Source organism: Homo sapiens, chromosome 4 (assembly GCF_000001405.40).
Source record: "Homo sapiens chromosome 4, GRCh38.p14 Primary Assembly".
Taxonomy (NCBI): Eukaryota; Metazoa; Chordata; class Mammalia; order Primates; family Hominidae; genus Homo; species Homo sapiens.
The window spans coordinates 162,729,922-162,747,397 of record NC_000004.12 but is presented as its reverse complement, the minus strand read 5'-3'; the positions used below and the strand labels follow the sequence as shown (position 1 = coordinate 162,747,397).

The 17,476-nt window shown below is 37.0% G+C and overlaps 1 long non-coding RNA gene across 1 annotated transcript in view; it reads left to right on the top strand.

Annotated features, from left to right (window-relative positions):
• The first annotated feature begins 11,183 nt into the window (after positions 1 to 11,183).
• The window catches only part of LOC105377516 (uncharacterized), a 30,448-nt gene continuing 24,155 nt past the window's right edge, over positions 11,184 to 17,476 (top strand). Inside the window, exons 1-2 of the long non-coding RNA XR_939412.3 lie at positions 11,184 to 11,407; positions 15,586 to 15,693. This is a non-coding gene — a long non-coding RNA (uncharacterized LOC105377516). The remainder of the gene's footprint in view (positions 11,408 to 15,585; positions 15,694 to 17,476) is intronic.

Below are 17,476 nucleotides of genomic sequence, written 5' to 3'. Positions count from 1 at the left end.
TCGGCCGGGCGTGGTGGCTCATGCCTGTAATCCCAGCACTTTGGGAGACCAAGGCAGGCGGATCACGAAGTCAGGAGATCGAGACCATCCTGGCCAACACGGTGAAACTCCGTTTCCACTAAAAAATACAAAAAATTAGCCGGGCATCGTGGTGGGCCCCTGTAGTCCCAGCTACTCAAGAGGCTGAGGCAGGAGAATGGCGGGAACCCAGGAGGCGGAGCTTGCAGTGAGCCGAGATGGCACCACTGCACTCCAGCCTGGGCGACAGAGCGAGACTGTGTCTCAAACAAACAAACAAACAAACAACAACAACAAAAACTCAATAGTCAAGGGTTAGGTTTTCATGCCAGAGTCTAATGTCCAGCTCTGGTTGCCAGTGCAGTGCTGTAGAATGCACGGTACATCCCTATTGCTTCTGTCTCTGATTTCTTCCCAATTAATGTTGTTGCTGCAGGAATTTTATATAAGTATTTAGAGCACATTTCTACGACAATGAAGTAATCAAACCACAGGGAAGAGTTCGGTTCGCTGGTAAGTCTCCTACTCTCAACATTTCTCAGTCCAGAATTCCACCGCCTCCCCTCTCCTCCCCTTCCTGTCCCATTACTCTCTCCTTAAGTTGAGGATTCTTCTATTTCCTCTAAAGTACCCAAATATGAATGAATTTTGACACACGCTTTTAAATATTTAGTTAACATTCAGTTATATATACTGTAAACTTATTTTGTAGAATATCATAGCCATCTTTATTTCTAAAATATTTCAAATTTCTGGCAAAAATGTTTTACTAGAGGTCGTGCCTTTCTTAAAAGGAACATTTACCGTTATATTCCTTTATTTGTTAGAATATCAGGTACAAGTATTTATAACATCTTATTTTATTAAAGAAGAAAAAAGAGAGGGCAAGCACTGTGGCTCATGTTTGTAATTCTAGCACTTCAAGAGCCTGAGATGGGAAGCTCACTTGAGGCCAGGTCAGCAGTTAGAGACCAGCTTGAGCAACATAGGGAGATCTCATTTCCACATTTTTTTTTTTTAATTAGCCAGGTGTGGTGGTGTGTGCCTGTAATCTCAAGTGCCAGGATCGCTTGAGCCCAGGAGTTTGAGGCGGCAGTAAGCTATGATTGTGCCACAGCATTCCAGCCTGAGTGACAGAGTGAGATCCTGTCTCAAAAAAAAAAAAAAAAAAGAGAAAAGGAAAGAAATTAAAACAATTATTAGTACTCAAAATAATACTCAGTCAACAGCAATTTAGTCACTTGTTTTTTTATTCTTGTGTCTGAAATGAATATGAAGCAATATCTTAAGCCTTAGGTTTTTAAAATTCACTTAACTTTACAACCAGACAGAGTCCATACCATTCCTGTCTGACTTTTGGAACGGTTTTGAGGGACTTTTCTAGGCAATGAGGGTAGAGTTATGAAGAAGATGAGGAAATGAGTAGCGAGATAAGATGGGAAATATTAAACTGGTATGAAACAGACTTAAGATCAGAATAAATGAGATAGTTGGAGACAAGAAGAGGAACAGCTGAGAGAACATGTGGTTGCATATCTAAAGTGATACTGGTTACGGAGAAAGCAGATAAAAATTGATCAGCAAATGACAAAATTCAACCTAGCTTCATATCAAGAATTTAGCATACAAGAGAGGCTTGCAGAATCTTGACAGAAAGGGTAGCAAACTTAAGGAAGCTGTTAACTTCAATTGTAGAGTTTGCAGAAGCAAACATGAAAATATTTTAAAAGCTGGTTTTCAAAGATAACAAAACTAGAAAGAATTGAGGAAAACATACTGAGAGGTTCTCAACACATCATAGACACAGGAGTGCAGAGCTGAAAGGAAACCTAGAATTAAAGTATACAACCATGCATTTATTTTTATTTTATTATTATTATTATTGTTATTATTATTATTATTATTATTTTGAGATGGAGTCTCGTTCTGTCACCCAGGCTGGAGTGCAGTGGCGCGATCTCAGCTCACTGCAACCTCTGCCTCCCGGGTTCAAGCGATTCTTCTGCCTCAACCTCCTGAGCAGCTGGGATTACAAGTGCGCACCACCACACCCAGCTAATTTTTGTATTTTTAGTAAAGACGGGGTTTCACCATGTTGGTTAGGCTGGTCTGGAACTCCTGACCTGTGATCCACCTGCCTCGGACTCCCAAAGTGCTGGGATTAGAGGCGTGAGCCAACGCACCTGGCCCCATGCATTTCTTTATTAGACATTCATGTATGATCTTCAACAGGCCATGCTTAATTTATTTATGTACTTTGGATAGTTGACTTAAATTAATCTTGTACTTTGTACTTTGGCTAGCTGACTCAAAGAATTGATGATATCCTTTGGGAGACAATTTATAAACAGCTAGTTTCATACAGTTGGAAAGATTAACCAATTGAAGAATATACAATAAACACAGAGGAAGAGGTGGCTTGTGAAGGGGTGGTAAATACATTGAAGGGGGTTATTAAAGAAAACAATAGTTTACATTTTGCTTGAAAATTATTTATTATTTGGTAAAAGCCAGTATGATATGAGAAGACAAATGGTTAAATGTTCTTACTCTGAAGATAAATTACCTGTATCTGAATTCTAGCAACAACATTGATGAGCTCTGTGACTTTGAGTAAATGACAAGGTATCTCTATGCCTCAGTTTCCTCAAATGGAATAACAACAGTGCCTACTTATAGGATTGTTTTGAAGATGAAATATTGTTAGTGACCTACAGTAACATATGATGCCTTCAACATAGCATTGTATAATTATAAATGCTTATTATTATATTAGCTATAAAATAGACCACATGCTGTATATAATTTCTTTTATAGCAGAATTATTACTCATAAAATAGTGCTCTCACTCTGTCTCTATTACACACACATACTACTATAATCCATCAGGGGTTGCCAGATCCATCTAAATAGGAACTAGCTTTAGCTTTCTTGGAAGTTTGAAAGGAATACCATAATAATTTTATTGACAGTAATTTTACAAAGATTAAGAGGTTTGTTTTGGCTTCTTTGCTTATTGAATTATCATTCAATCAGACAGACCAGGGACAACATTTGCCTTAGTATAATAATATATGTTATCCTTCCATACTCTTGTGTTTAATAATATGTTATCCTTCCATACTTGTGTTTAATTCTATATCAAACCATTAACTCTATCTTTAAGCTTATATTCTAAAAAAAATGCAAATTTAAATTTTCAGGAATTGTATCATCCATTCATTTCCCTCATTCAATTACCTGAAATTAAGTTCGTTTGTTTTCTGTTAATACATGGTATTTTGTCAACATAGCACTTAAAAATATGTTTGGACGATATGACTAAAATCTTGTATAGCATCGTGTTGAATAATTAGAGTTTTCTTTTTCATTTCTTTTTTCTTTTTTTTTTTTTTTTGAGATGGAGTCTTGCACTGTTGCCCAGGCTGGAGTGCAATGGTGTGATCTCGGCTCATTGCAACCTCTGCCTCCCGGGTTCAAGTGATTCTCCTGCCTCAGCCTCCCACTGAGTAGCTGGGATTACAGGCACCCGCCACCATGCCCAGCTAGTTTTTGTATTTCTGGTAGAGATGGGGTTTCACTATGTTTGCCAGGCTGGTCTTGAACTCCTGACCTTGTGATCTGTCTACCTTGGTCTCCCAAAGTGCTGGGATTACAGGCATGAGCCACTGTGCCCAGCTATTTTTCTCTCTCTTAAGAGCAGTTCAGATATTGATGACTGAGGGTTATTACAGCAGTTCCAGTGGCCATCAAGATTTCAGGCTCTTTCTGTTTTGCCATCCTAGCTCAGCATGTTTCTTCCATTGCCAGTATGAACTCATTAGTGCAAACCATCGTGCAAGTTCGCACCATCATGTCCGCTCTCAGAAGGAGAAAAGGAAAAGGGCAAAAGGATTTACTTATAAAACTGAGCTCCCTTAAAGAGCTTTTATGAAAATACCACCAAACTCTTCCTATTCATATTATATTAGCTACCTCTCTTTCAAAGTATGCCAGAAAATGTAGTTTTTGCTAGGATTATTCATGGCTTTAATACAGAAGTTGTGTGTAAAAGATACGGAGTGAAGGGTTGTTTTCTGTGCAACTAGCCACTATCAACAGAAGTTTACTATTGTGATTCACTTTTAAAAGAGTGATATGAGTTTGACTTCAAGTATATTATTTAAGAGGTGACAGATAAACTAAAATACTGATCTAAGTATATTGAGATAAGAAAGGGTTGAGAAAATGGTTACAATAGAAATCAACAAACTTTTCCTATGACAAGTGAATAAGCCAACTACTGACAAGTCAATTCTGACAACTGACAAGAAATCAATTTGAAATATTTAAAACTGGAAAGTCATGACATAGAAATATAAGCAAATTACTAATTATATTAAAAGTGCTAAAAAATAATTAAAAGCATAAATAGTTAAACAAAGGAAGCATAGCTCTCTGGGGAGGAAGACTAGGCGTTGAGAAAGGTGAGACAGGAGATGTTGTTTTTCTTTATAAACTTAATTTTATAGGTACTACTTATAGTATAGTATTTTATAGTGTATTCTTTTTGTTTGTTGATATTTTGTTTTTAAGTTTTAGATTTTTTTTACTGTGTTCAGACATTACTTTGCTCAACTTTATTTTGTAAATCCACAGAATTTACCAAGATTTTTGTCTCAAAGCACATGCAGTTTACATTTCTCAGATATTCACTGAAGGTATTCTATTAGGTTGGTGCAAAAGTAATTGTGGTTTTTACATTACTTTTAATTGCAAAAACCGCAATTACTTTTGCACCAACCTAATATTAGAATGAGCAAGGGAATATAACGTTCATTAAGTATTTTTCTATTATGAAGGAGAATAAAATCTAAGGGGGAAGCTAAGATATGCATACAAATGTCTATATATAATGCAAAGCAAAAATAAAAAACATGCTCCAAAAATTACAATAGAAATTTAGGAGAGGAAGAAATTCTTCATATTGAATATATCACAGAAGACAGAAGGATTTATTTTTCTACAATAAAAATTATGCAACTTCTTTTGTTTTTATTGTCTTTACACGCTTGCTAGATTACGATCAGAAATTTGGGCAGTGATTTTACAAATGCAAATTCAAATTAGAATGGAAGTTTGAGAAGCAATAGAAACAAAACCACCCAGAGCCAAGTGATTTGGCCATAAAGAAGGAGCCAGCTACAAAGAATGAGGATGAACTCGGAAGAGATCACTGTGTTTGGAAATAGCCGGATTACCATCAGAATAATTTATACAAATAAGAATGCCTAGGCAAGCAAGCTTTGCTGACATCAATGACCCATGGAAGCATCAGTGTACTCCAATATTAGAAAATAGCCATTGTTAATGAAAAACATTCTTAGCAAATACAAAAAAGACTTTTTCAATAAGCTTTGTTTACTAAAAACAGAAATAGGTATCTTTAACATCCTTTCTTACTTCCTAATGTGTGAAAATAACAGATATATACTTTTTTAATTTAGAAAGACTAAATAAAACATATGCCAATGAAATGCAATGCTACCTCTAAAGACACCAGCCAGTAAATGAGAGAAGTTAGAAACAGTTTGCAATCACCACCGTATCAGTCCACTTACTGTAGCTTTGTTGTATTACTTCATAATCAGAGGGAAATCAGAGATGATGGGTCTTCTCAAACTGGTCTCCATCATCACATCTCAAGCTGCTTGGGGTACCTTCATCTGGATCTACAAATAAAAGTGAATGGAATGTTTTCTTTTCTTTTTTCTTGTTTTGTTTCCGTTTGTCTTCTGATACAAGCAGGGATAAATTTTCCTCATGAACACATACCACTTTTATGTTTAACTGAAGTAGAGAATATGGTTTTAAAAATAGCCGGCAGTTCCCCACAGGCATACTTCTTTCAATTCTGTGGTGATTAAATCAATTGTTACTTAGTATACTCTGAAAGGAAATAGTTCAGGAAGTGAGCTTTATGCAAATAATTGATAGTGCTCCTTAAGGAAACTACTAAATAAATTGCTCTATAAAATGATACACAGTCTCTATGAACCTGAGTGTGAAATCAGAGAACAGTTTCCATTGTATTTGTAATTTCTGTGCTGGGCTTCAATTTCAACAGTCCTCACTAATGGACTTAGTAATTTTGTGTGTGACAAATGGTCTTACCCCCACAGATTACATAGAAAATAAAAGAAGTCGTCTCTCTACCATACATCCCTCTATGTATGTTACAGAAAATGACAACTCAGATTTTTGGCTCAATGGACAGGACCCTTTTGCTTTTGAGGGAGGGATGTCTGAGAGCAAACTTCTCATTCTCAGGTGGTCAGAGAGAAGTACCCCCTGCAAGATTCTATGTGAAAGCTGTGTGTAAACTGTCCCCTTTTATTATGGTTTGCTCAAGGTATTACGTCCAAACTGGAATAAACCTGATGTATAATCTGACACCTAGACACCTGATTTATTCATTCCCTCACCGAGGTAGCGTGTCCAGAATTGGTGGGTTCTTGGTCTCACTGACTTCAAGAATGAAGCTGCGGACCCTCGCGGTGAGTGTTACAGCTCTTAAGGTGGCGCATCTGGAGTTTTCTCCTTCTGATGTTCGGATGTGTTTGGAGTTTCTTCCTTCTGGTGGGTTCGTGGTCTCGCTGGCTCAGGAATGAAGCCGTGGACCTTCGCGGTGAGGGTTACAGCTCTTAAGGTGGCGCGTCTGGAGTTGTTCGTTCCTTCCGGTGGGCTCGTGGTCTCACTGGCTTCAGGAGTGAAGCTGCAGACCTTCGCGGTGAGTGTTACAGCTCATAAAAGCAGCGTGGACCCAAAGAGTGAGCAGTAGCAAGATTTATTGCAAAAAGCGAAAGAACAAAGCTCGCACAGCGTGGAAGGGGACCCAAGCGGGTTGCCACTGCTGGTTCGGGCAGCCTGCCTTTATTCTCTTATCTGGCCCCACCCACATCTGCTGATTGGTAGAGCCAAGTGGCCTGTTTTGACAAGTTGCTGATTGGTGCGTTTACAGTCCCTGAGCTAGATACAAAGGTTCTCCACGTCCCCATCAGATTAGTTAGATACATAGTATGGACACACAGGTTCTCCAAGGCCGCACCAGAGCAGCTAGATACAGAGTGTAGATTGGTGCACTCACAAACCCTGAGCTAGACACAGGGTGCTGACTGGCGTGTTTACAAACCTTGAGCTAGATAGAGAGTGCCGATTGGTGTATTTACAATCCCTGAGCTTGACATAAAGGTTCTCTAAGGCCCCACCAGAGCAGCTAGATACAGAGTGTTGATTGGTGCACTCACAAACCCTGAGCTAGACACAGGGTGCTGATTGGTGTGTTTACAATCCCTTTATGGAGACATAAAGGTTCTCCACCTCCCCACCAGACTCAGGAGCCCAGCTGGCTTCACCCAGTGGATCCCACACCAGGGCTGCAGGTGGAGCTGCCTGCCAGTCCCGCGCCGTGTGCTTGCACTCCTCAGCCCTTGGGTGGTCGATCCGACTGGGCGCCGTGGAGCAGGGGGTGGCACTCGTCGAGGAGGCTCCGGCAGCACAGGAGCCCATGGAAGGAGTGGGAGGCTCAGGCATGGCGGCCTGCAGGTCCCGAGCCCTGCCCCGCGGGAAGGCAGCTAAGGCCCGGTGAGAAATCGAGCGCAGCGCCGGTGGGCTGGCACTGCTGGGGTACCCAGTACACCCTCCGCAGCCGCTGGCCCGGGTGCTAAGTTACTCATTGCCCGGGGCCGGTAGGGCCGGCCGGCTGCTCCGAGTGCGGGGCCCGCTAAGCCCCCGCCCGCCCGGAACTCCAGCTGGCCCGCAAGCGCCGCGCGCAGCCCCGGTTCCCGCTTGCGCCTCTCCCTCCACACCTCCCTGCAAGCTGAGGGAGCCGGCTCTGGCCTTGGCCTGCCCAGAAAGGGGCTCCCACAGTGCAGCGGTGGGCTGAAGGGCTCCTCAAGTGCCGCCAAAGTGGGAGCATAGGCAGAGGAGGCGCGGAGAGTGAGCCAGGGCTGTGAGGACTGCCGGCACGCTGTCACCTCTCAGTAGCAATCTGACTTTCCTCAGTCATTTTTGGGTTATTCCAACTCTCCTTTATATTCTTTGAGCCCCTGCTTAGACAAATGAAGTATTGTCAGGTCACTGTCGTGGCTTATAAGTTATGCATAGTATTTTAGCAAAATTTTTCCTTATTACCTTAAACAGATTATAATGTATACTTTATAAATATATACAATGTTTATATATCACATATTCCCTTTTCTCTTTTGATACAGATATGGTGTAATGACATGGAGTTTTGCACAGAATAGGGAAGAGGGAATATAGAGGGCCTGACGATTTCCCCCAGACCCATCTCTATCATTGTCTTTTCAGGGAATTGTCCTACCAGACAAATATCTCATTTCTCAGAAGCGTTCTGGACAGATTTATTCATTTGTGTGTATGAATAGAATTTCTAGTAAGTTACTTCACTAAGGGCTTTAGTGCCTGGGCAAATTTTTCAGAATAGCATTGCCCTTTGGATAAAAATATTTTTTTCTAGGTTTGAGATAAATCCTTCTGACTCTTCTCATAAAAAGAAATTTTTAGATGAAAAAAATTGTTTTGTTCTTATAAAACAGAAAGCTTTTTTCAGAGCTTTTTGGGCAAGTGGAATGGAACATTTAAGAGTTTAAGTAAGGTGGTTTTTTAAAATATTTTTTCTCTGCAGTGTTGTACATTGAGGTCATAATATTAACATTCGGAAGTCTGTATCAGCTACCTGAAAGTGACATAAAACCAGAAAGTTGCTAAAATACACAAAGTCTAAGTCATCTTGGGAAAATGCTATTCAAGTTTTAATACAGCTATTCCAGCATTAAGTTTATATATGATAAATACACGCGTACATACATCACTTTTCCTCTCATGATAGTACAGTATGTTTAGTAACATTAATCTCTACAGGGGCAGAGTAGTACAAGTGGTTTCACAGATATTGCATTCATTAGCCAGCGACTGTTTTTAAAGGTCTTATGGCAACTTCTTATATTTGCAAAAGGCTTCCCTGAAATAGCCTGACTCAGGAATGAGAATGAAGAAGGAAATTCACAGGCCTCTTCCACAGGTTCTTGTCAGTGAAAGGTCTCTGCCATGGGGCCGTTATTGCTCATCTAAAAGCCTAATAAGAGCAGCTGAAATTTCATATATATGAGGATGTGGCAGACATACAACCTATGGTATACTAAAACTAGAAATACGAAGGCAGTATTTCATTTGACAGAAAAGCAAAATACAGTTATCTTTGGGAAAGTTTCTTTAAATTTCACTGCCTTTTTGTCCTAATTCTTAAATGGTTTATTTTTATTATTTTTTATTTATTCTTATTTTTTGAGATGGAGTCTCATCTGCCACCAGGCTGGAGACCAGTAGCAAGATCTCGGCTCACTGCAACCTCCACCTCCTGAGTTCAACCGATTCTCCTGGCTCAGCCTCCTGAGTAGCTGAGATTGCAGGCATGCACCACCATGCCCAGCTAATTTTTTTATTTTTAGTAGACACGGGGTTTCACCGTGTTGATCAGGCTGGTCTCGAAATCCTGACCTCAAATGATCCACCTGCCTTGGCCTCCCAAAGTGCTGGGATTACAGGTGTGAGCCACCTCACCCTGCTCTTAACTGTTCTTATAGTGACTCTTGCTACCTAATCGTATCTGCGGATAATTCGGTTTGGAAATAAGTAAAAGTTTTGCCAAGCATACAATATTAACGTTTTTACCTAGTGTTTGTGTGGTGTCTGCCTCAATATGAATGTCTGTTGTGTGTGTGAGAATTTTGGTTTGATAGCTTTGTTTATTCAGGCTATTAATGGCTATGGTATGTGAAATTAAATGTGAGTAATGTATTAAACATCCCTAAGTAAGTTCTAGATAGTTTTGAACAATCAAATATTTTTTCACACAACTCAATGCATTGTTCTAGGTATTATAAGGTAAAGAAGAAGTGGTGCAAAGATTTATAAACCATGTTCCCGCCTAAATAGCTTATGGTGAAGACATACAAATAATATATATGATACACGCTTTTGGATACTCGTGATAGAGGCACATAATAAAAAGCTGTAAGAGTTTAGAAGAAAGAGGAATCGTATGCAGTGAACATTGTCAGGAATGACTTGAGTGATTTTTCTTTTTTTAAATTTGGGCCTAGTAACACGATTGCTTTAAGAACATGATTGCTTTAAGAACAGAGGGTGGAATAAAGAAATGTAGAAAAGTGCAAGGATTTGAAGGAAATAGCCATAATGTGTCTTTCAGGATAGGACATTTATCTAAGATATAAAGAGGCTATAAAGTTGAAAATAAGTTCCTATAGTATAAATCTGTATGTTCCAAGTTTCATAATTTATATTTAATATGCTGGTCTTTAGAAAGGGATCCACTGGAGGAGCAGAGGACCTCAAGGTTAAATGAAATATTATTCAGACATATTGGCATAAGGCTTTTTTTTTTAGGAAAAAAAGCTGGATATTTCTCTATACTAGGAAGGGTAGAATGGTCCATGAGCTCTCAAACTGTTAAAATGCTTTCTGTTTTTCTCTTTCCATCCATTCAATGCCTCTATGGCATTATGTAATAACTAAATAATAAATATTTGCATAAACTGTATTCTCTTTTTATTTTAGATATGAATGCTGCCCATGAAAAATGCTGGGGTATTCATCCCTATTTATCTTGAAAGTTTAGGTTTGTCAGAGTCTTCTGAGAGTATTTTTCTCAGCAGATAATGGAATTTTCTAAGATTATTAATTGTGACTACACAGAAAAGTTTGCAAAGAATTTCATCAGTGTTACAAAGAAAAAAACCACGTTTTTCGTTTTTGTTTTTGTAGTGAGCACACCCTTATCTCTGTGACACTATTACCTGTTATAATGACCTTTCAATTCTCTTATTTTTAAACATAAAAATGCACATATAAAAAGATCAAATGTCAGTTCATATTAGTGCAAACACACATATATATATATAAATACATATGCAGATACATGACTGTGTTAGTCAAAGTTCTCTAGAGGGACAGAACTAACTAGTATATATAAATATATATAAAGGGGAGTTAATATTAAGTATTAACTTACACAATAACATGGACCCACAATAGGCTGTCTGCAAGCTGCGGAGTAAGGAGAGCCAGTTCCAGTCCCAGAACTGAAGAACCTGGAGTCCATTGTTCGAGGACAGGAATCATCCAGCATGGGAAAAAGATGTAGGCCAGGGGGCTAGGCCAGTCTCTCTTTTCACATTTTTCTGCCTGCTTATATTCTAGCCACACTGGCAGCTGATTAGATTGTGCCCACCCAGATTATGAGTGGGTCTGAGACAAAGATCTGGACAAACATCTGAACACAGTTTCCTATACCTCCTACTGGAAGGTGAGCATTTCAAGTTCTTAAATTTCTCTACACAAGAGCCCTTCCATCTTAGTATAACAAGCTTTATTGGCTAAGAGTCCTCACAGAAACTGATATCCTAACTATACTATGGAAAAACTCTGTGGACTAGTAACTCGACTAGCTGTAACTACATAAAATGAGAAGTACATTTACAGAAATTTTCTACTCCAAAGAAATTCTGATAATTCTGAAAAGTATTATTTTTTAATTTAGAAGCTTAATTTTAACTTATTCCCTTTGCTTTCCAGTTACCTTAGCAAACTGAATTTCCCCACCTATCCACAACACTAAGATAATGGATGCCTAAGGCATCCATTCAGGTACATTGTTCATGTACCTGAAAATGCAGAGAAAAGTGCATTGATAAAAACAAAATATCATATATATTACAAATATTCACTTTTAATTTTTAACAAATATTTATCAATTGTTAGCAATGCTTTAGACAATATGTGCACAATATTTCTTGTATATTAATTATTTTAATAACTTGTAACAGATGGATGGATCCTACTATTCTGTTGCATATTGGTTTTCAGCACTCCCTTGCTGTCACGGCATTTTTCTTGCATTTTCTCATTTGCAATTCATAACTCTAAGAATTAGAGTGCTTATATTTAGCTGAAAGTATTGAAGCTCAGAGAGGTATAAGGTTACAGGGAAAAAAATTTTAAAAATCTCAGATTTGTGACACTTAATGTAGTGTTCTTTACTTATATCCCTCGAGAAAGAGCATGTAATTCTGCCTTTAAAAACAATATTATCTTAGGCATCTCATACAATCTCTGAGCCTGAGTTTTGTAATATATATCCTAAGCAAAAACCAAGGGTAGAGAAATTTCTTTCTGCTCTATGGGGTTCTTAAAGAATTAAGTAACAGATTATTTGAATCTTGAATGATTTTTGTAAAAATTAAAGTGAAATAAAGTAATCGTGTGTTATGTTTATAGATGCCTAACTTTTTTTTTTTTTTTGCAGGGAATGCTAGCTGACTAGCCCAATGTGCATTTTTGCCTTCTTTTTACATAATTCTATATTTTAACTGTTTAGAGTAAATACTGCCTTTCACAAATCCCATTGCCACTGGAGGTATCCATTTGACTAATATCTGGCCAGTGAGCCATAAGGGAAGTTGCATGGGGTTTTCAGGAAACCTCTCTTAAAAGACTGCTAGTGTATTCAATCTCCCACCCCTTTTTCTCCTTCTCTTCTGTTTCTGCTGTTGGAAATGAAAACATGATAATTAGAACTCTGGCAGCCATTTAGCACAGTTAGATGACCTTGAAAATTGAAAGCAAACCTTAGGATGGTGGAAAAATGCAGCAGAAAAAGCCCAACTCCCTCAGCTGTGGAGCATAACACCTCCACTAAACTGGTTATCTCCAGGCTTCTTTTACATGAAAGAGAGAGAAACTTCCATATTGCTTAAGCCATTATAATTTTTGGAATATGTTGCTGCATGAACATGAAACTAATTATTATAGTACTATTATCTCATGCATACAAATATTTTTAACAATGTAGCCAATACCTATTTTATATTATTAGGCCCTCATAATGTTTTGTGAGGTATAATGAGAATATTTTATTCATGTATGAATATGAAGTAAAGCTCATATTACTAGAAGAATCTGATACAGAGAAATAAATTTCAGAAAATATTGCAAAGATCTAAAGTAGGAAATTTTAACAAGGAAGTGAAGATTTCCTCTTATTAGCCATATTCCATTAGAGAAATAGTATATGGCCCAAATATTTACAAATATATATATGCTTAATACATTTATCATAATACGTTTTCTCTCTGTTTGAATAAAATGATATTACAGCACATCATTTCATTAAGCCTGCCAGCATTTCAGAAAGTGCCCATCCTTAGTAATCAGACTCAAGAATCAGTCTGCCTAGGGAAAAGATGCCAAAAGAAAAGAAAAGTATTTATCATTTGTTAGTTAAAAAAAAAGTAACTTGTTGAGAAAAGAGCTGGATTTACTATCAACTTATTTGTCCTATAAGTTCAGATCAATTTACCTACTTAAACTCTTAGATCCTGCATTTATTTATATTGAAAATAAAGTTCAAAATCTCACAGAGTTGCTACAAGAAGGAAAAGAATTAATACATCTAAAAACATAAACGTGAGAACTATCATCTGCCTGAATTGTAACTCATTCACTTATCATCTTTTTGATATATTAACATTTTAAGGAAAATATGCATAGACAAGAAAATAAAACTGACGAAAAGTATAATGTATACAGCTGAAACAGAATAGTGAGTTTTAAGCAAACATTAAATTCAGTTATCTTAGGGGCATACAATGGCTTGTAGCTATATGGGAAGGTGCATCTCCCAAGATGAGACGGGCTCCTTGAAAGAGATTAAATCATTCTGGATCTATAGCACAGTTTACTCCCCATCAGAACCAAGTAGAAATACTTTCTGATTGAAGGCACACATAATTTATATCTTCAGAATTCCCACAGATTATGTTTAACAAAATATGAACTATCAATAAAAATTATGAACACGTGATGTAACAAGGCACCCTAAGAGTGTGAGCAAAACAACAAAGATGACATTGGGATCCACAAACAGAAAAACAATAAGGTCACTGTATCCAGTGTTTAAAATAGAAATTATAAAAGCCAACACAGCCATCTGCTGATGTGGAAAGGGTAAAGAGCCTTTGCATACCAAGAATTCTGCACCAACATGAAGCAGAGATCAGCTACAGCCAAGAGAAGGGACAGGAAACTTGCTCCAACACCAGAGCGCTCCCCAAAACACTCCTCTGGCTCAAAGCAGATTTCAGCCACCATGGGAAAGTGTCAGAAACGCTGAGAAAGCCCCTCCCTTGAGCCAAAAGCACAAATGGCCTCCCTAAGACTGTGGCTGGCGCAGAGCTGCGCAACCCCATCTGCTCCTAATCATGAGCTTTGAGTTAAGTAACAAACAACAGCCGCTGATTTCCTGGGTTATGTCTAACTTCTGCATCTGTGTCATACAGGTGCAGGGCCTCAGCAAAAGCTGAGGGTGCAGCAAAAACACTGATAGAAACGCTCAGATTATTTAAGACTCACACTAAACACCAAGTAGCAGCATTTCATCTTGAGTAATTGGAAGTCTGTGGTGCACCAAGCCCAGCTCAACTCATTCAATTGCTTCAACCACACCTATTTGCAATCTGACATAAAAAGAGGTGTGCGTTGAAATTACTTCAATCTCTACTATTAATGTGTAGGTGGTGCTCATTATTTAATGAAAACTATGACACACCAAAACACATGAGAAAACTACTAATTGTCAAGAGAAAAGCAATCCACAGAACCAGACTCAGATTTGACCTACATGCCAAGACTGTCAGAATTTAAGATTAACTATGATTAATATGTTATGGTCTAATGCTATAGAAAAGAATCATTTCAAGTGGCTTTAAGACACAGCAATATATGCAGCATAGACAGTAGAATATATCTTAAGGTTAAAAAAAAACAAACATTGGCCGGGCGTGGTGGCTCACACCTGTAATCCCAGCACTTTGGGAGGCCCAGGCAGGCAGATCAAGAGCTCAGGAGATCGAGACCATCCTGGCTAACATGGTGAAACCCCATCTCTACTAAAAATACAAAACATTAGCCGGACGTGGTGGCAGGCACCTGTAGTCCCAGCTACTCGGGAGGCTGAGGCAGGAGAATGGTGTGAACCTGGGAGGCAGAGCCTGCAGTGAGCTGAGATTGTGCCACTGCACTATAGCCTGGGCAACAGAGTGAGACACTGTCTCAAAAAAAAAAAAAACAACAACAAAAAACCAAAAATCATTAATCTGTTTTCAATACTATTATTAGTAATAATACTGGAATCACTCTTTTCAATTGTACATATTACATACAAAATAAAATATGATGTAGTTTTTAAAATAATATACAATGTATTTCAAATACCAATATAAAATGATATGTGGATAAAACAAACAAGTATTTACATTAAAGTTATTGGGAACCATAACATAGGTGTAGAAGAAACAAAAACTTAGTAAAAATACCATCATTTTAAATTTGAATTAGCAATATCAGTGAATGTAATGTATTTTCTCTAAATAGGTCTAAGAAAAATGATCACCCAGTAATAATGAGCATCCCTATGTTCTCATACAGTGTCCTGTATATGCCATTTTTCACTAAAAAGGAGCAGACAGCAGCAATATGTAACTTCAATCTGAAATACGAAATGCAAGATGAGTCTGAAGTACAAAAAGACAAAAAGTAAGTACTTATGGGGTCATATAAAAAGATATTTGAGCCATACTGAAGGGGCTCCCATGAGCAAAATATGGGCTAATTTAAACAATGGAAAGAATAAAAACTACAGTCGAGTGAAAGGTAACAAATATGTTAAAATCTATGAGTTATTAATGATAGTAAACAAAAACATTCTAACAAAGCTGTTCACATTTGGATTTGCTTACAAACCACCTCATTATTATTCTGAAAACTGCTAAGAAAAAGCATCAAATATTTATTTAACCTTTCCCACTAGATCTATGAATTACAGTAACCTAATAGGTTATAAGGAAATGTTACTATTTACAGAAGAATTTCAGAAAATAAATGCAGAAAGGTTAATAGAGTTGGAATATCATCAGTTTGTAAACCGTAATGAAATAGTAAATTGAGGCAATGATCTTCAAGGGCTGCCTTTTATGTGAAAGGTTGCTGGGAAATTTTATATTGAAAGGAAAAGGGTGATAACACCTGAGTCAGTATTAATATTACCTCGAAAGAGACAACCAGAAGCACGTTTGATGTGATGCCTTTAAGATGTATGTGGCATTACCTATCAATAAGTAGTACTCTTTTAAAAAATCAAACCTAGATTTGATCTCTCTGTAAGTGTAGAGGAAATATAGAACATAGGAAAGGGGCACCTTTGGGTGCAATTTACAAAATTGATAATATGGAAAACCTTACAAAACAATCCACTTTTTAAACAAATAGTTTTTCTTCAAAAAGTACTTTTTTGTATTTTTTTAAGCCACATGAAACATATAGATCAAACATATAGACTTAATTACCATATTAATCAAATACAAAGTGTGGACCCTTGTTTTGATTCTGAATTGAACAACTGAAAATCAGAGAAATTTGAAAGTAAATGAATATTTGATAAGATTAGGTGGTAATTACTTTTATTTTAGCTAGATACGTACTGAAGCAGCAACAGATTAGAAAGTATGATGTATGCTTTTGCTTTATCTTGGAGATAAATGATAAATACTTTAAAACATAAAATACATAATATATAATGTATACTCCAAAATGTAATCTATAATCTAAAGTGTAATATAATCTATATTATAATCTATAATATAAAATATAATCTATATGTGTATAATCCCAAATGCAAAGTGTAGGCCATGTTTTGATTCTCAATTGAAAAACTGAAAATCAGAGAAATTTGAAAGTAATTGAATATTTGATAACATTAGGTGATAATTGCTAACTTTTACTTTAGCTATATATATACTGAAGCAAGTATAGATTACAAAAAATGATGTATGCTTTTGCTTTATCTTTGAGATAAATGATAAATATTTTAAAATACAGTATATGAGTGAGGTTGTGAGGTGAGAGTAATTGGAGTAAAAGAAGAAAATATGACCTTAAATTATTAGCTGTTTCAATTCATTATTGGGTACATAGGGGTTTACTATTTCTCTTCTTATTATATATTTGAAATTTTTCTTAATGAAAATTAAGGTCAAAAAGGAAAGAAAAACTAATATTATATGTCGTCAATTATTTAAATTAGATTTTAAAATTATTTGTTGGTCAAATAGAAAAGGAAAATATTAAGGTAAACATTGTGGATATAATACGTGAAGGAAATTTAATAGTCACAGATGTTTATAATAAGCAAACAAAAAGATGAAAATTAGCAAAATATGGTTCTAACTGAATTAGGAAAATAATAAATTCAAACAATGAGAATAATGAAAGTAAATAAAAATAAAATTAAGAAAATGATAAATAATGATGCAATAAACAT